This window comes from Homo sapiens, chromosome 2 (genome assembly GCF_000001405.40).
Source record: "Homo sapiens chromosome 2, GRCh38.p14 Primary Assembly".
NCBI lineage: Eukaryota > Metazoa > Chordata > Mammalia > Primates > Hominidae > Homo > Homo sapiens.
Window position 1 is genome coordinate 159,314,580 of NC_000002.12, and position 23,417 is coordinate 159,337,996.

The 23,417-nt window shown below is 36.3% G+C and overlaps 1 protein-coding gene across 49 annotated transcripts in view; it reads right to left on the reverse strand.

Moving 5' to 3' along the window:
* Positions 733-23,417, reverse strand: part of BAZ2B (bromodomain adjacent to zinc finger domain 2B) — a 397,131-nt gene continuing 374,446 nt past the window's right edge. For 35 of the 49 annotated variants that reach the window (XM_047444047.1, XM_047444046.1, XM_047444040.1 and 32 more), the window contains 7 exons: positions 22,883-23,193; positions 22,363-22,498; positions 17,961-18,107; positions 11,074-11,339; positions 10,232-10,375; positions 5,695-5,839; positions 733-995 (listed from right to left, as the gene is read on the reverse strand). In XM_047444047.1, coding sequence (XP_047300003.1) covers positions 903-995; positions 5,695-5,839; positions 10,232-10,375; positions 11,074-11,339; positions 17,961-18,107; positions 22,363-22,498; positions 22,883-23,193 — 1,242 coding nt within the window. In that variant the 3' untranslated portion in view covers positions 733-902. Of the gene's footprint in view, positions 996-4,399; positions 5,840-10,231; positions 10,376-11,073; positions 11,340-17,960; positions 18,108-22,362; positions 22,499-22,882; positions 23,194-23,417 lie in introns of those variants that run through there. The other 14 variants (NM_001289975.1, NM_013450.4, NM_001329858.2 and 11 more) reach the window with 4 other exon arrangements.

The following is a 23,417-nucleotide window of genomic DNA, read 5'->3' on the forward strand; positions in this document are numbered from 1 at the left end:
GCACTGTTCACAATAGCAAAGACTTGGAACCAATTCAAATGCCCATCAATGATAGACTGGATAAAGAAAATGTGGCACATATACACCATGGAATACTATGCGGCCATAAAAAAGGATGAGTTCATGTCCTTTGCAGGGACATGGATGAAGCTGGAAACCATCATTCTCAGCAAACTAACACAGGAACAGAAAACCAAACACTGCACGTTCTCACTCGTAAGTGGGAGTTGAACAATGAGAACACACGGACATAGGGAGGGGAACATCACACACCGGTGCCTGTGGGGGGATTGGAGGCTAGGGGAGGGATAGCATTAGGAGGAATACCTAATGTAGATGACGGGTTGATGGGTGCAGCAAACCACCATGGCATGTGTATACCAATGGAACAAACTTGTACATTCTGCACATGTATCTCAGAACTTAAAGTATAATAATAATAATAATAAATGCTTGATACTTTTCAAAATTCAAAATCTGTAATAAGTTGTTAGGAAAAAATAATCCAAATATTGGGCACTGGTTGGGCAGTAGGGAGAAAGAGCCCTCTTCCATTGATGGTAGGAGGCTAAACTGCTGCAGTCGTCTGGAGAGTAGCATGGCAATATCATGGCAAGTTAAACAAGTACAGACCTAACAACTGGGGCATACTCCCCTGTGTAGATCCAAGAGAAACTCTTACCTCAGGATATTAGTTATCTATTGACGGATAACAAATTATTCAAAACGGAGTGGTTTAAACCAACAATAAACATTTATTATCTCATAGTTTTTGTGGGTCAAGAAATCAGGAGTGGCTTAGCTGGATAGTTCTGGCTCAGGGTTGCTTATGAAGTTTCAGTCGAGATGTTGGCTGGGGCTCCGGTCATCTGAATGTTTAACTTGGGCTAAAGGATCCACTTCTAAGATGCCTCAGGCACAGGGCTGGTAAGCTGGTGGTAGCTATTGGCTGCTCCATAGGGCTGGGCTGCTAAAGCATCCTCATAACATAATGGCTGGTTTTGCCGAGAACAAGTAATCCAAGAGAACAAGGCGGAAGCAGCAGTGTTATTTTATGACTTAGTCTGGGAATTCACAAAGCTATCACTATGCCATATTAGGTTGGTCACAAAGATTAACCCCGACACAATGTGGAAAGGGATTATACATGGGCATGAATACTAGAAGACAAGGGTCACTTGGGGATACCTTGGAAACTGGATTCCATACACAAGTCCATGTATTAAAAAAATCACTGAAGTATTATTTGCAGTGACAATGAGTTGCAGGCAACCTAGGTTTTCATTTCTAGAGGAATTTGTAAGTAAAATGTTGTGTATGCCTCTGATGGAATACCTTATAGCAATCAAAACCAATGAACTAGAGTTACACATTTTTTCAACTCAAAAGAAACAGAAACAGAATTTAAAAACAATAAGATTTATAGCATAATACAACTGATATGTCTAAAAACCACTGTGTGTACATACGTATTTTTCATATTATATAAAGAAACATATTGCTAAATAAATACATAAGTAGTCGACTGGAAAGGCATATTTTAAGTGGTTGTATATAGGGGAAAGTGGAGATGAACTGAAGAATAAAACAAAAAAAGTAACACAGAGGGGCTTTGCAAGAATAATGTAAAGAGTGTGCCATGAATTGAAGAAAGAAATTAATTACCTCAATTATTTGAGGTTTAAAAAAAATTCCTTTTTTTGTAGAGTTGTAATGAGGCCAAAGCAAGTCTAAGAGATCTTGTTGAAGCAAGATTCCCAGCAGATAAGATTCTATTCATTTCCCTAGTTTTTAAAGTCACATCCCCCTGGAAAGAAAATTTTAGTGGCTTGGCCGGGCGCGGTGGCTCACGCCTGTAATCCCAGCACTTCGGGAGGCCGTGGGGGCAGATCACGAGGTCAGGAGATCGAGACCATCCTGGCTAACACGGTGAAACCCCGTCTCTACTAAAAATACAAAAATTAGCCGGGCGTGGTGGAGGATACCTGTAGTCCCAGCTACTTGGGAGGCTGAGGCAGGAGAATGGTGTGAACCCAGGAGGCGGAGCTTGCAGTGAGCCGAGATTGCACCACTGTACTCCAGCCTGGGTGACAGAGCAAGACTCCATCTCAAAAAAAAAAAAAAAAAAAAAAAAAAAAGAAAGAAAAGAACATTTTAGTGGCTTATGTCTGTAATCCCAGCACTTTGGGAGGCTGAGGCAGGCAGATCATCTGAGTTTGAGAACAGCCTGGCCAATATAGTGAAACCCCCATCTCTACTGAAAATACAGAAATCAGCCAGGTGTGGTGGCACGTGCTTGTAGTCCCAACTACTCAGGAGGCTGAGGCACAAGAATCACTTGAACCCGTGAGGCGGAGGTTGCAGTGAGCTGTGATCACACCACTGCATTCCAGCCTGGGCGACCGAGCAATACTCTGTCTCAATAAAATAAAATAAAATAAAATAAAATAAAATAAAATACCTCCTTTATTCTCCTTGTTGAAATAAAATTCTTTTAGGAAGACACAAACCTCTTTCATTTCTCAAATGGAGATATTTGAAAAGCAAATAACCTTGAAAGAGGAAGCTCATAAATTAAAAGTACAATTAGGAATAAATGTCTGATAGCAGATTTCCTTGTTGAGGATGTGTTTAAAGGGAGAAAGCTAAAGGGACAGAATTTTGAATTTCCTTAAAGAATATGGGGATTGAGGGGCTGGAAAAGAGAAGGAGCATGGAGGGGTACATTAAGGTACTAAAGACAGATTAGATCCTTCATAATTCAGATTAAAACTGGTGCTTGTGACAAGTTTTATTTTGGAGTTGGAACAAGAAAAAGATCACCTTGCATTTATGGTTAATTTACTTCTTTTGGGTTTTAGGTGTACCTATAGACACATCTTCACCTGTTTAATTTTCACTGTGGTTAACAACTCAAATATTACTTTACTGTCTGCATACTGTTTCAAACTGATGATTATTTTCTGTGTTCAACAGTAGTGGATTGTTTGGTTATCCTTGGTTGGTCACCACTTGAGTGGTAATCTAAATCTAAACTTGAAAGTAGGCCAGTTTCTTAATAATTTACAGATTTTAGGACTAAAATGAGGAAGCTTCAGGTGAAAGCCTAATTTATCTTAAGGAAAATATGTTGTATATACTTGCAATTATGTGACAGCAGAGAGAGTTAGGATAATCTTTTTTTTTTTTAATTTGAGGAGAACAATGATACTGGTTTTATTGAGAATAAGCCCAACCAAGGGCACTGGGAGTGCATGAATCACTTACATAACAAGTGATCCACGTATGTATAGTAACCACTGTCATGTGCTCCAACCGCAGCCCTTGTGGGCTCATGCCCACTCAGTGTTTAACAGCTACCTCTGCTGAGTAACAACAATGAAGACACCAGTCCGAAGTAGCCAGTGTTTACCAAGCCTTTCTTTTTTTCCTATTTATTTTTAAAATTATCACTCTCAAAAATTTTGGTGTGTGTGTTTAAGTACTTTCTTATTTATGAGCCCCTGAGGCACCAGACATGTTATTATCAAGCCCCTTATATACCATCTAATATAAATTAACATAAGCATATATAATCTCTAAGGCAAAAAAAAATCATCATGAAGAATCCCCATGGAGCATCAGGCAGTTCTAGAAACACAAAAACCAGACACTTTTATTCACAGTGCTGCCTTCTTCCCTGCTCTACAAAGCATTTTTGCTTAAGCACCAGCCCCTTTAAGGCATCACTGCAATATCTGGTTAACAGAAACTGACATATTTACATAGTAACAGCTGATTTTTCATATAAGTCTTCACAAACAATCTAGAGATACTGAAAATACTCTGTGGCTTTGAAGCTTTGTGAAGTTAAAAAAATTTTTTGCAAAACATTTCTATATTCTCTCTTCATGATAAAAAGCAGTGGACATTATCTAAGGCCCACTTCAAGGGGCTATAAGCTCCATGAAGGCAAGGCCTGTCTTGTACGCCAATGATTCTCCGGAGTCTGGCGGAGCCCAGCAGGGCAGCAAATTGCATTTCTTGAATTCTTGGAGAAATACATGTCTTATTAGACTAATTTATATATCCGTTTTTCTTCTTGACAACTGAGTTATTTGGCTACCCATAGAGGCATTTTTCAGACCAGAACAAGATCTAATGTATTCTAATATTTTCATCTTGAAAATGTGAAATAAGAAAGAAGACAAGGTTCGGAGAAGTTCGCAGACCAGAGAGGTTTTCAGGCTACAGAAGTTTGGCCACCTGACTTAAACTCACCCTCTTCCACCCAGCCCAGTGCTCTTTGAACCACACTCTACACACTGTTCCTCCTACAGGTCTCTGTAAAAATCAAATTTAAATTAACTGGCTTTTAAAAAAGAATATATTTTCAGGTACATTAAGAAAAACTAAAAAATTAGTTTGTAAAAGTCTTTTATTGTATCCGTGCCACACATAGTGAAAAATAACACTCCTAAAAAAAGAATGCTACCTTTTCCACAACATTTTATTTTAAATAAAACTTCAAGTACTCTTACGTAGGTACAAAAAAAATCTGATCTATTTGCCTCCAACAGGCCACCACAACACACAGTAGATAAAACACAGTGGTTACAAACGTCTTTTAAATTTATTTCTGAGGCAAGGCAAATGGGAGGGAAATGTTTCTATGAAAAAATACTGTGTGCGTAGGAAATTGTCACAATTTTATTCCACATGGATACAAATGATTATACTTTAATTTAGGCCCTGGTGGCTTAAAATTATATAACAAAATAGAAAAATGGAAAACTAATATCCCCTACACCCTGTTTCAAAGGCAGGCACTACCAAGATTAAGGAGACGCCACAGTGTTGGTAGAGGATAATTACTGTACAGACTGTATAGCTATCATTACCTTCAGACGAAAATAAAATGCTACAATCCTCTAAGGCATGAACAATAATGTCTGCAAACAATATATACACATAATACATATTTAAAACAAGACTTAATATAAACAAGAATGAACAGTATATACATGTCAATTTTTTCACTGTTTTGAAATACAATTTAACTACACAAGTGATGCAGCAACATATATATATAAATGTACTTGTAACTCTACAGTAAAGTTTCTTTTTGGTGCTTTTATAGCACATCAGTGTAAACAGTTTAACTTGGCTTTGTTTTATATTTTAAAACATTCCTTGTATTTTCAAGATTTAAAGCAATTTTCTAGTTCTTCCTTTTCACAGAAAACGAAGATTCTGGATGTGGTTTAATCATAAATAATTCATAAAATTAAATACATTCACTAAAAAATAAACTACAAAGTAAAAAAATGAAAAATAGATATTTATTGAGAGGGAAAGGAGAACCATTTCCCACATTAGAGCTCTGGTGTTGAGTATTCAGTGCGATTTGATATATTTTAATTGCTATTGCACTATAACACCCTTTCCTTTGAAAATTCTTTGGGTGTGCTTCCCTGTTCTACCTAAATTAGCTGATAAATCACACAAACCAATAACCGAGGGCCTTGGTTGTTGTAGGAATGAAGCCTTTAAAAATGGTATCATTCTTCTGATACTTTTTTTTTATACTTAAGGAAAAAGAAAGTCATTATGTATGTGCCTTGCACGTTTATGTAAATACAGTTCACATTGCTGGTCTCATTTGTCCTTGTTTAGAAGGAAAAAAATAAAGAGATTATTATAACTTCAGCTCACTTTGAAAGTATCTGTCCACTTTTTTTCAAAATACTTCCTCATATTGTGGCCAGCTCTGCCTATATCAGAATCATCTTCATTAAATGTTTCACAGTTGTCAAAAACAAGCCTGACATCTAGAGCAAAGGTTTCAAGGTTTGGATACCTGAAAGAAAACAAATAATTAGAGATTGCGTTCATAGAGTGGATTTGTTTTGTAAACAAATGAAGAGTTAATAAAGGGTAAAAATGAAAGAAAAATGATTAGGATAACTGCATTTAAATTGATATAAAATACATGATATCCTCTTACAAATGGAACATTTAAACATTTTTGTATGTTCTGGAACATACTGGATTTAAAGAACAGGTTAAATGAAAAAATAGGTTTCTCCAAAGATCAAAACATATTTCAACTGGCATTTTCCCCATAACCCAACTCCTGTTTGACCTGTATCACACAATTCTGTCACAGGACCTATCCCACTTGACTAGTTTATTAAGTTCTCTGACCAAATGTATCACTTGCAGAATCCTATTATCCATATTAAAAAATGCTCAGCTGCAGTAGAAATTATGTCAATGCTCCCCATGCAATGATAAAAATTACACTTGTCCTGTAGCTTCTATATACACCCCAAGATATGGTGCTCTGCGTTGTCTTCCCCATTTCCCATTTCTCTTCTCTTCATATGTGCTCTTCTGCCCAAGCAATAGAGTATGATGAACCCAAACAAGCAAAACAAGCATATGCTATCTTTCTACTAGAGGTAACATTATGAGGGTCTGTCTTTCAACAAGAAGCACTGTGGCTTCTGTGCTTTTCTGGCGGGATAAGCCCAATTCTCTTTCTCTGTAGAAAAACAGAAAAGAGAAAAGAAAGGTGAATGAATCTGCATAAGCTTATTAGTAAGAAGGGAATGGTCATTTCAAACCAACTCAAGCCAGTTCAATACATTTTAAAAGATAGCTTTTAGAAATGCAAATTTTAAGTTAATTCTAACCTATGACAATCTGTATACTAAAATAATGTAACCATTAAAAATATCTCATGAGTGTAAATTAGTACAACCACTATGGAGAACAGTTTGTAGGTTCCTCAAAAAAACTAAAAACAGAGCTACCATGTGATCCAGCAATCCCACAGCTGAGTATATACCCAAAAGAAAGGACATCAGTTTATGAAAGAGATATTTGCACTCCTATGTTTGGTGCAGCACTGTTCACAATAGCCAAGGTTTGGAAGCAATCTAAGTGTCCATCAACAGACGAATGGATAAAGAAAACATGGTACTTAAACACAATGGCGCACCATTCAGCCATAAAAAAAGAATGAGATTTTGTCATTTGAAACAACGTGGATCAAACTGGAGGTCATTATATTAAGTGAAATAAGCCAGGCACAGAAACACAAACATCACGTGTTCTCACTTATTTGTGGGATCTAAAAATCAAAACAATTGAGCTCATGGAAACAGAGTAGAAGGATGGTTACCAGAGGCTGGGAACTGCAGTGGGGAGGTGGGGATAGTTAATGGGTACAAAAAAATAGAAGGAATGAATAAGACCTAGTATGTGACAGCACAACAAGGAGACTATAGTCAATCATAGTTTAATTGTACACTTTAAAATAAGTAAAAGAGTAGAAGTGGATTATCTGTAACACAAAGGATAAATGCTTGAGGTGATGAATACCCAATTTTCCATGATGTGATTATTATGCATTGCATGCCTGTATCTCATGTAGTCCATAAATATATACACCTACTGTGTACCTGCAAAAATTAAAATAAAAATTAAAAAAAGAGAAATACCCTATGAGGCACTGACGCTGTGAGATCTTGTCAAAGTGGAATTCTATTTCTTTGGTGAAATATCTTGTATGACCTTTCACTCGCTTCTTCTGTGCGATAATGAAAGAAATATTTCTCTATGCGTAATGTGCTCACAGAGTTAAGTCAGCCCTTATGTAACCTCATCCATTTTCCTAGGAATTACTTGCTTATTTTTACTGAGGTTAAGAAATTCACATAAAATTAACCATATTAAGGTGGACAGTTCAGTGGCATTTAAGTCACAACACTGTATTATCGTCACTTCTAAAACACTGTCATCACCCTGAAAGGAAACATCATACTCATTAAACAGTTATTCCCCATTCCTCCCTCTTCCCAGTACCTGGCAACCACCAATCTTCTATCTGTCTCTATGGATTTATCTATTCCAGATACTTCATCTAAATGGAATCATACAATCTGTGTGGGAATGATTTTTACAAAATATTTTAAAGTTGATTTGAGAACTACTTCTGCCTTTGTTCCTTACCCTAAGAAAAGGTTAATGATTAACATTAGGGAGAGTGGAGTCCAGGAGAGAATTCTAGGTGAGATTCTAGGTGAAAAAAGTATACAACTCATATGTGTGTCCTTCCTTTATGGGATGGGGCAGCTAATGGAACTCAGAAAAATTCATGTAAGTAGGCCCCTCCCTCTATTCTAAAAATTTCTAGTTTAAAAATTTGAAATATGGTTTGTGAGTTTTGGTTCCAACTCATTAATTTGGGTTTAATCAAACAACTCAAAGTGGAGAGTTCGAGGAGCTTGAATCCACTGAAATTTTGCTTCCCACACACCTGGCATCACAAACAGGAATACACAGACTGTTTCCTTCTCTCTTTCTCTTCCCCTGTGACTTCCTCCATTCACTGGGACTCATTTTTCAAAGGAGCTCTGATTTTGTAGCTTTTTTTTTTTTTTTTGAGACAATCTCACTCTGTTGCCCAGGCTGGAGTGCAGTGGCGAGGTAACTCACTGCAACCTGCACCTCCAGTTTCAAGTGATTCTTGTGCCTCATCCCTGAGTAGCTGGGACTACAGGCATACACCACCATGCCCAGCTAATTTTTGTACTTTTAGTAGAGATGAGATTTCACCATATTGGCCAGGCTGGTCTTGAACTCCTGACTTTAAGTGATCCATCTGCCTCCACCTCCCAAAGTGCTGGGATTACAGGCGTGAGCCACCTTGCCTGGCCCATATGATTTTGTAGCATTTTTTTGTTATAAATATTTCTAAGCCTATTTGTTTTAGGAATTTTGAGGTTTACGTTAATCTTTTATCCAGGAATTGGAAGATCATGGAAGTTAAAATCAAGAGTTAATTTAAATACTAGTAAAGTCTTCATGTGTAATTCTTTTTCTTGGCCATGTTAGTTATAAATTTCATTGTGCCATCTACCTAGACAACTATTTTGATAGAACAAACAAAAGAGGCTGGGTGAGGTGGTTCACGCCTGTAATCCCAGCACTTTAGGAGGTGGAGGTGGGCGGATCACCTGAGGTCAGGAGTTCGAGACCAGCCTGGCTAACATGGTGAAACCCTGTTTATACTAAAAATACAAAAAATTAGCCAGGCATGGTGGCGTGCACCTGTAATCCCAGCTACTTGGGAGGCTGAGGCAGGAGAATCACTTGAACCCGGGAGGCAGAGATTGCAGTGAGCCGAGATGCACCACTGCACTCCAGCTTGGGCAACAAAAGTGAAACTCTCTCAAAAAAAAAAAAAAAGAACAAACAAAAGAACTAGTCCATATCTAGGTAACAGTGTTTGCATATTGGAACCAATCAGTACCAATCAATCATTTAAACGCTTCCTTAACTTAGGCAGGTCCCTTCTGTAATTAAAAAATAATAAAACAAAACAGACATAAACCTTTGGACGGCTGTTATTTCATCCTCCAAAGAAATAAATTTGTCATTTGGTCAATCTAGTAAATCAGTTGATATATGTGAGGGATGCTGATCATTATAAGTTCTATTTAACTCTTCTAAATTGAATATAAATCATAGAGAACAGTTATTTTCACCAAAAGAATGTATAGGAAGAACTAAATAATATACTGGATAATAACAATGTAATTAAAATATATATTGTATGAGTATCAGGAAAGCCTCCCAAAGTAAGTAACTTTATTCTTGGAATAGGATTGCAAAGAGAATATGGTAGAGAAAAGCAAATAAGCTTTCTCTCCCGCATTTAATAAATGGAATTTTGGTATTCTCCAATAACTCACATTAAAGCTCTTAATATGTAAAGCTTCCAAAGATCTTCTATTTCTACATTGTGATAATCTAACAATATTTGAGTCAATTTTTGTTAAATCCATATGACGTGTGGTTGATACTCCATGGATGCAAAATACAAATTCCGGCTTATATGTTACTTACTTTGGGAGGCTCTCCTGATACTTTTCCTTACCTTCAGCTTGGGTTTGTGGTGCTCTTTCAATGTCAAAAGCAGGTTTATTACACGGGTTTTTAATTTCTTAAATAATTTTAGTTGGTTTCTCTTCTATACTATTCTACTCTAACCAAATACACACACACACACACACACACACACACACACACACACACACACACACACACACACACACACACCTGCCTCAAAGGCAGGGCCTATATCTTGCTGTTAATTAAAATATCTTTGGCTCACTAAAAATATGCCTAGCATATATCAGGTATTCAATAAATATTTAGTGAACTGAAATGATTTACTTACTGTCCACTACTTAGTTTCTCTCTAATTGTGGAAAAATCCATAGGCTTCTTAATAACTTTCTTATAACCAGGAACAAGTTTCAAGTTTACAGGAAGTAGAAAAGGCCATGCATCCTCATGAGTTTCCATTTCAGTCAGAATCATACTAAAGAAAATAATGTTTGAAATCAGTATCCATACTTTACAACTGTCTTATTTTTTAATTAAAAAAGCTTTCAGTTATTATATATATATTATATATATATATATATTATATATATATATATATTATATATATATATATTATATATATATATATATATATATTTTATATATATATATATATATATATATATATATGAGATAGGGTCTTGCTCTATCGCCCAGACTGGAGCACAGTGGCACCATCTCGGCTCACTACAACCCCTGCCTCCCGGGTTCAAGTGATTCTCCTGCCTCAGCCCCTCGAGTAGCTGGGATTATGGGTGCACGCCACTATACCCAGCTAATTTTTGTATTTTTAGTAGAGACAGGGTTTCACCATGTTGGCCAGGCTGGTCTTGAACTCCTGACCTCAGGTGACCCACCTGTCTTGACCTCTCAAAGTGCTGGGATTTCAGGTGTGAGCCGCTGTGCCAGGCCCAATTATAATCTTTCAAATAAAAACTCAATGCAAATTAACATTAAAAGAAGATAAAGGAATACATTTACTATACTTTTACTTATATATTTTCTTAACATTTATGCTTTACATTTTTTTATTTACATAAATTATCAGAAAGAAAGCTTTAATATGGTAAAAGGTTTCTAAACAAATAAAATGGGGCATTATAAATATACAGTGCATGAAAACGGAAATAATACCTGCAAAGAGCTAGGTCCTTGGAGTCATCTCTTTTAGGTTTCTTAACTGAAGTAAAACTTTCTTGTTTTGACAAGTTAATAGAAGTGTTTTCCTCCATTTTTCTTTTCTTGAGGTCTTTGTTTCCTCTTTTTAGTGAACTACTTGTAGATGCAGAGTCTTCATCTTCAGTATCTCCTGTTAAAGTTACCTTCTTGCCTTTCTTTGACTCATTAGTCTTTTTTCCTTTGACATGAAGTTTTTTGATTTTTAGAGTTTGACCACTTGCCTTTAATTTAAAAAAAAAGTAAATGAGGTGTAAGAAAGTGACTGTCTACAGACCTATTATTTTAAATTATGAAAGTCTGACAGGACAAATAAGTAAAAAGAATAACTCTGATCTAGAATGTTGATAACTATTATTCTTAAGAAAGATCTGTGTATTTTTTCCTCTCATAATATAAGGATAAAATCTAATAAAACATGAAAAGTCTATTCATCTTAAGAATTCTTAAAACTTGAAGATGCTAATCTCATGGTAATTCATCTACAGAAGGTGTCTGTAGTATTCTTTCAGTCTAGGTCACTACTTGAATGAGTTTAAAGATACAAAAGAATTCTCTTTTGGAGCACAACAGAATTAGGAACAAAGATGAATATAAATGAAAATATAGAGATTGTTAATAAGAAAGTTGAAGAGGTAATAAAAAGCCAGGCCAAAAAATGAAAAAGAGCTAAGGAAGTGTCAAATAGAGAAGTCCAAGTGATCAAATCTACTAGAAATTGATTTGATTTTTTTTCCTGGATAAAAGATAACAGGTATTTGCAATAAGAAGAGAGTTCCACAAACTTGTGGTTCCCAGGTGTGAACAAAGCAGTGGTGAAAGATGGGGCAAAAAGATGTCTGTTTTTGAGAAAAACAACATAGAAAGAAATGACATAAAGGACATTATACTTGGAATCGAAGGATATGAATTCCAGCTATGGCTCTGCTACTAACTTTAAGCAAAAATATTTGTGAGGCCCTGTTTTCTCACTTAAAAAATAAGGATGACAAGCCACATACTTGCTAAAGTCATTCTAGCTCTAGAATTACATGCAAAAAAGAACTCTCAACATGGTCTTATGCAATATAACTACAAATTGCAGGCAGCACACTGATGCAACAAGAAGGGTGCCCCACCCTGTATTCATAGAGAAAAAAAATCTGCCTTTTGAGAGTTAAATGTTATAATAAATATAATAGATCATGAAAGAAAGATATGTAAACTTCTGGCAACGTATGGCTTTTATTTTTATTTTCCAAATATGTGGTACACACCAAACACTTTTAGAAAACTACTATTCCCTTAACCAGATTGTTAAGAAATCCTAGACTGCAAAGTCACATAATCAGTGTAGCAATAATTTAAAGTTGGCTGCAATCTTTTTTTTTTTTTTTGAGGCAGTCTCGCTCTGTTGCCCAGGCTGGGAGTGCAGTGGTACAATCATGGCTTACTGCAGCCTCAACCTCCTGGGCTCAAGACATCCTCCCATATCAGCCACCCGAGTAGCTGGGGCTACGAGTGTGAGCCACCATGCCTGGCTAATAAAGTTGGTTGTATTCTTAAAATTGGCTGAAAAACAGTCCTTTGGAGTATTTCATAGCATTGTCTTTGAGGATTTCATGACCCCTGCCAGTACCTTACTTAAAAATGCTCTTAAGCAGTTAAAATTATTTGTTTCTTTATTGGCAGGTTAAAGTATAGTTAAGGAGATATTTTAATTGACTAAATAAGGCAAACCATAAATCCAACACTTTCACCATATGATATCAAAGAATCACAACCCCTGTCACTAACTGAAATAATTAATATGTTTTATTCAGTCTCTTCTCCATTTAGTTATTTATATTCATTAAAATCTGATTATTTTGGGTTTTTATATTACACTGAGCTTTTACTCTGAATCTCTAAAATCATTAAAAAGGAGAACTTAATATAATGAAGAAAAAGTCCATTTAATGACAAGTTAGATTAAATAACTGTGTTACTTAAAACAGAGCTGGAATTATGAATAGTGGGCCAAAACATTTAGTTTCTATTTGAACTAAAATATTACTTGGGATAATTTTCTAACAAATTAATATTCACAATAAGAAAATATGAAATTGGGCCAGGCGCGGTAACTCACGCCTGTAATCCCAGCGCTTTGGGAGGCCCAATGGGGGCGGATCGCCTGAGGTCAGGAGTTTGAGACCAGCTTGGCCAACATGGTGAAACCCCGTCTCTACCAAAAATACAAAAATTGGCTGGGTGTGGTGGTGCACACCTGTAATCTCAGCTACTTAGGAGGTTGAGGCACAAGAATCACTTGAACCTAGGAGGTGGAGGTTGCAGTGAGCTGAGATCACACCACTGCACTCCAGCTTGGGTGATGGAATGAGACTCAGCCTCAAAACGAAAAAAAAAAAAAAAAAAAAAGAAAGTATGAAATTGAAATCACAGAATCAAAAAACTTGTGATTTTTTAAAGACAAAAAATGATGTGTGTCAGCTGATGATCTCATTAGATAGTGCACCTACACATACTTTAAAAGCAAACTTTTATCAAGTTACTCTGTTACCTGATTACTTTGCTCTTGGGCAGGGCATTCCCCCAACCCCCATCACCTTTTCTTGGCTAGAGTACAAATTCAAAGAGGAACTTAGTGGGTCTTAAGCAAAACTTATCAGATTTCATGAACAATGGTACATATCTTTCTAGTTTATATATTGATAGAAGTCACAAACTGGTGGCTCACCGGCTCCAAACAGGCCACAGAATGTATTTGGTTCATATAATGCTTGTAAAAATTCTGAATTTGTTTCCAATATTTAATATTTGGGAGGACATAAAAATCCATAGTCTTGACTTCCCTTGAAATATTAGTGGGTTCTGGAACATGGGGCCCACATTCCTACATGGCAACAATTGGGTGGAGTTGAGCTTTGACTATTAAATTTAAATAGGGCCATGACTCCCCTGTTTGCCACAGTGCCCATGAGGGGTCCAATGAACTCTTTCATGTCATTTACTTGGCTTTTGTAGGCACTGAAGTTTGAAATGTCTAATATGTGAGTTTGTGTGTGTATGTGTGTGTGTATCTAAGAGTGTATATTCATATAAGTGGCCCTCCATATCTGCAGGTTCTACATCTGTGGATTCAACCAGCTGCAGATGGAAAATATAAAACAAAGGCCGGGCACAGTGGCTCATGCCTGTAATCCCAGCACTTTGGGAGGCCGAGGCAGGCAGATAACTTGAGGTTAGGAGTTCGAGACCAGCTTGGCCAACATGGCAAAACCCCATCTCTACTAAAAATATAAAAGTTAACCAGGCATTGTGGAGCACACCTGTAATCTCAGCTATTCAGGAGGCTGAGGCAGGAGAATCGCTTGAACACGGGAGGTGGAGGTTGCAGCAGTGAGCCAAGATCGTGCCACTGCACTCCAGCCTGGGCAACAGAGTGAGACTCTGTCTTAATAGGAAAAAAAAAAAAAAAAAGAAAATATAAAGCAAAAAATCCAACCCCCTCATAACAAAACAACAATTAAAAAATAATAAATAAAAAACAATATAGTCTAACAACTATTTGCATAGCATTTATTGGGTATTTATTGCATAGTTTTATTGGGTATTATAAATAATCTAGAGATGACTTAAAGTATACAGGAGGATGTGTGTAGGTTATATGCAAATAATATTCCATTTTATATAAGGAACCTGAGCATCTGTGACTCTGGTATCCATGGTGGATCCTGGAGCTAATCCCTTGCAGATTTGCAGATACTGGGGTATAGCTATGTTGTATATATATGCACACACACACAAACACATACACATCTTTTCGATTCTGTGATCCTGTGATCACATATATACATACATACACACACACATACACGCAGAGTAAAAACAGTTAATCAGGATAATGTATGCAGAAAAAGCCACTTGAGAGCAAGGTGTATGTATAGTATAAATATTTTTAAATAACTATGAATTAAATTGAAAGATACTTTAAAAACCTTAACCCTTCATTATATATCAAAATCAATGTTTAGAGTTTTACTGTTGTAAGAAATATCTAGTTCACTACATTTAAAAAACAAAAAAAGCAGAAGCTTAGAAAGCTGTACTCACATAGAAGGGCTTGAATGAGATTACAGATCTTATGTCTCCAAGTTTACTGCTTGAATGGTAGATAGCTAGGATACTAATTTAAGAAAATTTATTGAAAACAAACGTCCAATGACCTACCAGGTGATACTCCCAAGACCAAAAACACTAATCTGTTAGTAATTCATAGAGTATTAGAGAAACTTTCTATAACTTAAGTTATGAAGTTATAAGATAATTTTATGTACATCAGTGAAGACTGCTGTTAAGTTATATTTAACTATGTATGACAAAAATGATCAATGAGAATAATCAAAATAATCAAAAAATGACTATTAGTGAATATGATGCCATGTAAGACCACTTGCTATCTTGTGAAATATAGTCTAAAATATAAAATACTAAAATAAACATTTCACAGAACTATAAAGTTATAAAAACTTTCACATTTATGACCTTATTTGATCTTCACAAATTCCCACAAAGCAGATACTATCCCATTTTACAAATGATAACCTCGAGGCAAAAAAAGCACTCCCATGTTTACAGATCAGGAAGGTGGGGAGAAATCGATGAAGATTTGAGAAGAAGCAAAGACTGGAAAGAAAACCAGGAGAGTATGGTATCTTAGAAGTCAAGTGAAAATCAATGTTTCAAAGAGGAGAGAGCGTTCAGTTCTATCAAATGTAATAGGTCAGATGACATAGGCACTGATCACTGGAGTGAGAAATCTGAATGCTGTTTGTGGTCACAATAAGAGCACTTTTGGAGAAGCTGTGGAGGTGAAAATCTATAGTGAGTTCAAGAGTGAATCAGGGCCAAGTGTGGTGTCTCACACCTGTAATCCCAGACTTCGGAGGCTGTAGTGCGAGGATCAGCTGAGCCCAGGAGTTTGAGACCAGCCTGGGCACATAGCGAGAACCCATCTCTACAAAATTAAAAAAAAAAAGCCAGGCATAGTGGCACAGGCCTGTAGTCCCTGCTGCTTGGGAGGCTGAGGTGAGAGGATAACTTGAACCTGGGGGACTCAAGACTGCAATAAACTGTGATAGTGTCACTGCATTCCAGCCAAGGCAACAGATCAAGATTCTGTCTTAAAAAACAAAGAGTGAACCAGAGGAGAGATATTAGATAGAACCAGAACAAAAAATTTTCCAAGTGTTTTTCTGTAAATGGAAGGAAAAAATGGAGGAACTGGATCAAGGGAGAAGTGAGGACAGAAGAGGGTTTTTGTTTAGTTTTCTTAAGATGGGAGAGATAGCAGCACATCAGTAGGCTAAAGAGAGGAACCCAGTGGAGAAGGAGAAATTGGTGATGCAGGAGAAGGGAGAACTGCTGGAATAATATTCCCAAGGAGGTAAGAATGGATGGGATCTGAGGCACAAGTGGGAAAATTTGCTTAGTTAGGAGTTCATGGCAACAGCAGAGAAGGTAAGGTATGTGAGCCCGGATGCAGAAGGACAGCAGATGTGCTGGCAAGATGTGATATTTTCTTCCGATGACTTCCATTTTCTCAGTTGAATGACAATAAGTTGAGAATGAAGATGGAGGAGGCAGAGCTAGAGATAAATTATTGACATCATTAAAGGCCTCTAACACCTTATTTATTTATTTATTAATTTAGAGATGGAGTCTCACTCTGTCACTCAGGCTGGAGTGCAGTGGCATGATCTGGGTTCACTGCAACCTCCACCTCTGAGGTTCAAGCGGTTCTCCTGCCTGAGCCCCCCAAATAGTTGGGACTACAGGCATGTGCCACCACTAATTTTTGCCTGGCTAAAATTTTGTATTTTTAGTAGAGATGGGGTTTTGCCATGTTGGCCAGGCTGGTCTTGATCTCCTGGCCTCAAGTGATCTGCTCGCCTCGGCCTCCCAAAGTGCTTGAATTACAGGTGTGAGCCAACATACCCAGGCCTTAAAGCCTTGAATTTAAAGGCTGAGTATTACACAGCTATATTCAGATACAAAGGTATAGGTGCTAGAGAAATCAGAGAATTGTATTAACCAGAATAACGGTTTTACCAAGGGCAGGGGCAGGCAAAGGACCTAATGGTGGAAGCAATGATTGGGATAATGGGATAATGACACATAAGACAGAATAGGAGGAAAGAGAGGACATGAAGTGGGAGAGCAACAGTGAAAAGTCTTAAGACAAACCGAAAGTCCTGGTGAGATCCAAGGATTGTTGGAGTTGAAGTGCTACAGGGAGTGAACTGGAAGGGAAGAAAGGAGGTGGACAGATGGATGTTTGAAGTGAGTTTATGGAGAGGCGGTAGTTAAAAGTTAGGTTAAGAGATTGTTAACAATTAGCTTACTGTTAATAATTAGGTTAAGAGATTAAACATGGGAGAAAGTAACTGAGGTAGGGAATACCTAGAGTCTGCCTTCAAAAATAAACACCATAAAATTCTGCATTTTGATCTAGTAATTAAAAAGTTGTTTGGAGCCAGGTGCAGTGGCTTGCATTTGTAATTCCAGTGACTTGGCAGGCTGAGGTAGGAAGATTGCTTGAGGCCAGGGATGAGACCACTGCAGGCAACATAGCAAGACCCTATCTCTCTCTCAAAAAAAAAAAAAATTAGCTGGGTGCAGTGCACACCTGTAGTCTCAGCTACTCAAGAGATTGAGGCCAGAGGATAGCTTGAGCCCAGGAGTTTTAGGCTGTAGTGGGCTATGATCATACCACTGCACTCCAGCCTGGGCAACTGAGACCATGTATTAAAAAAATAATAAAAAGATAAAATAAAATGAAAAGTTTAGTTTTAGATTGGTCTTACCTTAGCAATGCAAGCTGGACAAAACCAGTCTCCATCTGGGATTGTTGTAATCTTGGGTCTATGGCAGTAGGTATGACAGCCTTTGTCACAGCCATCACAAAGAAGAAGCAGTTCTTCATTATCTCCCTTTCGACAGATTTGGCAGTACTATAATACATGAAAAATCATTTAAAATTAACGCTCTGCCATGAATAATAGTTATTGGGATGTTAAACACACCATAATTCCTAATTTATATTAGTAATGAACATTCCGCTTGCTTACAAATATACAGTAGCCATACACATCTATGTATCTTTCGTTACACAGATATGGACCACATGACGGGTGAGCAGTTCTATTGGGGTAAATGCACATTTCAAGTACACTGCAAAGAACAAAGCTAGAGGCAGAATGCCTTGCACACACTTCAGAAGCATGTACACATTAACATATGAAATAATTAACATGACATTAGAGCACATAAAGCAATGAATAGCTTTAATACATGATGTTTTATTTGTTTAATGTGCTTCATCTTTTGCTTATCTTAGCATCCTCATGATATCCTGAGAAAGAAATAAGAGTTAGAGTATTTTTTAAAATCAAAATTAGAAAACTTGTATTAGTATCATAATTACGTATAATAAAAAGATAACCCTAGATTTTTGACTAATTCATCTATATATTGTGATAGATTGGAAAATGTGTTCAAACCAGGAAACGTTGAAAATCAACCCAAATCAAACATGTGTCACAAGTGCAGAAAATGGATCCTACAAAATGGTTTCTAAGGAAAAAAGATACAATACATGTAAGAAGTTAAGAGGTCATTATTTATTTTTTTAGAATTAAAAATAAAACTAGTTGTTTTCTACTGAAAATTTTCTAATATAATTAAAGACTTTAAATCTGCAAAAAGAAGACTTTTTCCATGTACACATATTCTGTACGGTAAGTTTTACAAAGGAAAGAAGAAAAGTTAGACAAGTAAAAACTTCCAAGATGGCTTTAAAAGACAGTAAGCATTAACACTGTTTTTTGACATCTAGTTCATACTCCAGTCACAAAAAAAAATGTCCTGCAGTCCATATTTTTAAAAATGAAAACATGTAACCAGAAATCATTTAAACTACTTTAAAGTTAGGTATTTATACGCTCTTAAAAACAAAATAGCTTAACTGTTCCAACTTACTTTAATTTTCAATGCAACATTATATCTTAGTCTGGGAAAGTCTAAAATGGTCTTCTTATAACTTAGTATGTATACCAATGACAGTTGTAGAATCTTATCAAAACAGCAGACACACTATTCAAGTTAACAAATGTTTATCAAATGTATATACTATATATTTCATATTAACATTGGCGCGGTTACCAAGGGCAAAAGCAGCAGTTTAACATTCCAATAATCAGTATCTATTTTTTGACCTTTCCTAACATCACCATCACTGAATACCTTAAGATGGTGTTGTTTCTCCATATTTGAGTTACATCGTTAAAACTTCTATTGTAAAAGTATTCACTGAGAAATAACAATTGCAAGGTTATATGTATATCCCTGTAACAACACAATTTAAAAATCAGATTCATGAACATAAGTAAATACTCATTGTTTTCTCTACTAGGCAACTATAAATGCTACAAGATCTGTCTTACATCTCACACTTAGGATTTAAAAATAAAATTATTTCCTGATACTTTTAAAGAAAGGGTGACAGATATCAAACTCATAACAATTTTGAAAAATTATAGTAATAGCTCACAATATGTTACAGTAAATATATTATTATTTGGTTTTAATTCCTCTGCTACTACAGTAAAAAATAGTGGATGCTGCCTACTGTTTAACAATATAAAGCATACTGTGGGTAGAGAATTATCTGGAGGCAAATTATGACAACTCCCTCTTTTTCTTGATAACCTTGGTCTTTGTCCAAAAGGGTATTTCTAAAGATATCGAGCACTTTAATATTTTGTCAGGACTTACTATGAGGATTACTATAGGCACTGTTATGTCTCTAAAGGTTATAAGGTGCTTCTTAATCTTTGAATATGAAACACTGCCTTCTTTTCAAGGTAGTTTCATAGCAAGAAATGTATTATTAAGCATTTTAAAAAGGAAATGAAGATTGTGAGAGATGGAGTTATATGATTAATAAGAGTAGATGAAGAACAAGAGAAAGGTTAATGAATTTGCAAAAATGGAAATAAAGCTATAGATTGCAGAATTTAAATATATCAATATAAAGGCAGGTTTTGATACAAGTTTTAGGTTTATGTGTGTAAGTTTATAATAAAACTGAACACATCATGATGACTGCTTTGGTGTAGATGAGAAAAATATAAATACAAATTTCATTTTGATCTAGGACTTAATCTTTTTTTTTCAGTTTTATTTACAGACAAGGTCTCATTATGTTGCCCAGGCTATAGTGCAGTGGCTGTTCTCAAGTGTAATCACAGCACACTACAGCCTCGAACTCTTGGGCTCAAATGATCCTGCCTTGGCCTCTGGAGTAGCTGGGACTATCAGCATGCACCACCATAACTGGCAAGAAATCAGTCTCAGTTTCTCTCTCTTTTTTAAAAAAATCATTATTGCCTAGATCTCACCAAATATATTTGTCTAAGGTGACATTCAAGCTGGTTTTAATAATAATTTTTAGAAGGAAAAAATATTTGTACCTGGTAAAAACACTATTAAATGAATCAAACAGTGCCTTAAAATTTATAGTAAATTCTGGGCCAGGTGCGGTGGCTCATGCTTGTAATCCCAGCACTTTGGGAGGCCAAGGCAGGCGGATCATTTGAGTTCAGGAGTTCGAGACCAGCCTGGCCAACATGGTGAAACACTGTCTTTACTGAAAATACAAAATTTAGCTGGGCATGGTGGTGCACGCCTGTAATCCCAGCTACTCGGGAGGCTGAGGGCAGGAGAACTGCTTGAACCCAGGAGATTGAGGTTGTAGTGAGCTGAGATTCTGCTACTGCACTCCAGCCTGGGCAACAGAGACTCTGTCTCAAAAAAAAAAAAAAAAAAAATTATAGTAAATTCCAATCTGAATTGAGAAAGACCCTGTATTCCAGCACATTATGAAACTGCAGATTCATAGATGTTTTAGGAAGCAGTGAAAAACCATAGAAGAAACGTAATTTATTTGTGTGGAATTAATAAGGCCTTGAGTAGTCTAAGCATAAAGGTAAAGACGAAAGAAAGAACTCTAAGTTATTTAAGAATCAATTCTTTTCTTCAGGGAAACAACCATTTTAAGTAAAGGAATTTCACCTTTAACCATTCATGAAAAGAATCTCAAATGTTTAAATTTTAAAGCTAGTCTGTAATTCAAAGTAAATGGTAGCCAGGCACAGTGGCTCACGCCTGTAATCCTAGCACTTTGGGAGGCTGAGGTGGGCGGATCACCTGAGGTCAAGAGTTTGAGACTGGCTTTGCCAACATAGTGAAACCCCATCTCTTCTAAAAATACAAAAATTAGCCGGGTATGGTGGTGGGTGCCTGTAATCCCAGTTACTCAGGAGGCTGATGCAGGAGAATCCCCTGAACCCAGGAGGCAGAGGTTGCAGTGAGCCAAGATTGTGCCACTGCACTCCAGCCTGGGTGAGCGAGACTCTGTCTCAAAAAACAAACAAAAAAGCAAATGTTAAAGTAATTCATAAAAGACTACATATAATAGATAATTCTATATATGATAATATAAAAGAGGCAAGAGGGACACTTGTACATGATTTAAAGTAAATATTTCTCTGGAAAACATGAATTATAGCTCTGTATTTTGAACACACACCATTTTGGTGCCTGATACAAAATAGAGATTTTTGTGATAAACTAAATGATAAACTAATTGGGGTTGTAGAAAGAAGGTGGAAAACCAATTTTAATTAGTAGAAGACAGACTAAAGGATCTACTGTTCATGTCAACCACATCTGATGCCAAATACATGATATAAGCACATAAACTAAGAGTTCTCTGCTTATCTTGTATTTACTTATCTAAGTGCTTCTTAGAATTAAAAAATGAAAACTGATAGAAAAAGACATTTTAGCTACGCAGTAATATAGCAGGTAATGTTAGCAATGGAACTGTTTACTACAGTGAAACAGCCTTCAAGATTTAGATTAATAACTATTGTGCTGATGGAATGTGGGAGACAACTTCAGTTAGAGGTATAAACGATATTCAAAGGAGGCAGAAGCAAGATTTTAAAAAATAAAAGATAACACATTTGAAAGGTTCCTTCAGTAAGGAGGAAAGTATCAAAAATCTTTTAGAATTAGAAAAACTCTCAAGTATAGCATACATTATTATGACAATAGGTAATGTATAATTAAGAAAGATCTGGAGGTTGGAAGAAACAGGACAAAGTAAATTAGTTATAATATTTCTTAAATAAAAACACTTACAACTTTCATAATTGATTTTTCCCATGCTATTGATTTCTGTAATTGCTGAATGCACAGAGCTACCTGTGCAGCACTGCGAGCTTCTGATAATGCCCTTCTCCATACCCTGAGCCCTGGAGCAATATCCTCTTCAATTCTGCATTGAAATATAGAAAAATTAAGTAGGTCATGTCCACACTTACGATTACGGAATGTGAAACAATCATCACACTGAAAGCCAAGCAATGACAAAAACATGTAACAGCCAATAAGTATAAGGTTTAAGCAACTAAATTTGATGTAGTGCACAGACTGTGGCTACGTGCCTCAAAGCTTAGTCACAACCAGGTAGATGTAAGATCACTTTGCAGGATTATCAACGCACATAACAAAAAAAAAGTTTTTACAAAGCACCATGCAAATAGCATGATCCGTATGGATCACAGACATACAAGAAGATACATAGATAACAGGCAATAGAAAATAGGCTCCAATTAGCAAAGAAGCACAATAATTTTTCAAGTTAATCTCAATAACCTACCCGTCACCATCACCACTAACGGATGGTGCAGGAGCAGGGACAGTAACTGTGCCCACATTATCCAGTTTGATCTGAATGGTGGTACTTAAGGGGCTCTTCAGATACCTTCTTTCAATGTTCCGCTCCAAATCAGCCAGCCTGGTTACAGCTATATCTAGGGGGTTGTCACTCTTCCGTTCTAGTGCATGTGCACTGCTTTCGTCTTCGCCAGTAAATTCTCCATCATGCTCCTTGCACAATTTAGTAAATGATTTATGTTCAAAATATACCAAGTCCTCCCTTTCTGATGCAGGCTCTGGACACATCCAACCCTATATATCAAGAGAATAGTGTTATTATGGTTTCCTCTTAAAATGCTAGGTGGGTGAATTACCTTTACTTAAAATACAGCATTGGATACTGGCAGATCTCAAGGATTGTTACTAAAAGATTTTACCTTGTGTTTCCTAAAACTAGGTGGAAATAAGAAGAAAAAAATTAAAAGAAATAGTTGTAAGAAAAGTTTGAAAAATAAAATTTATAAACTTTTGATATT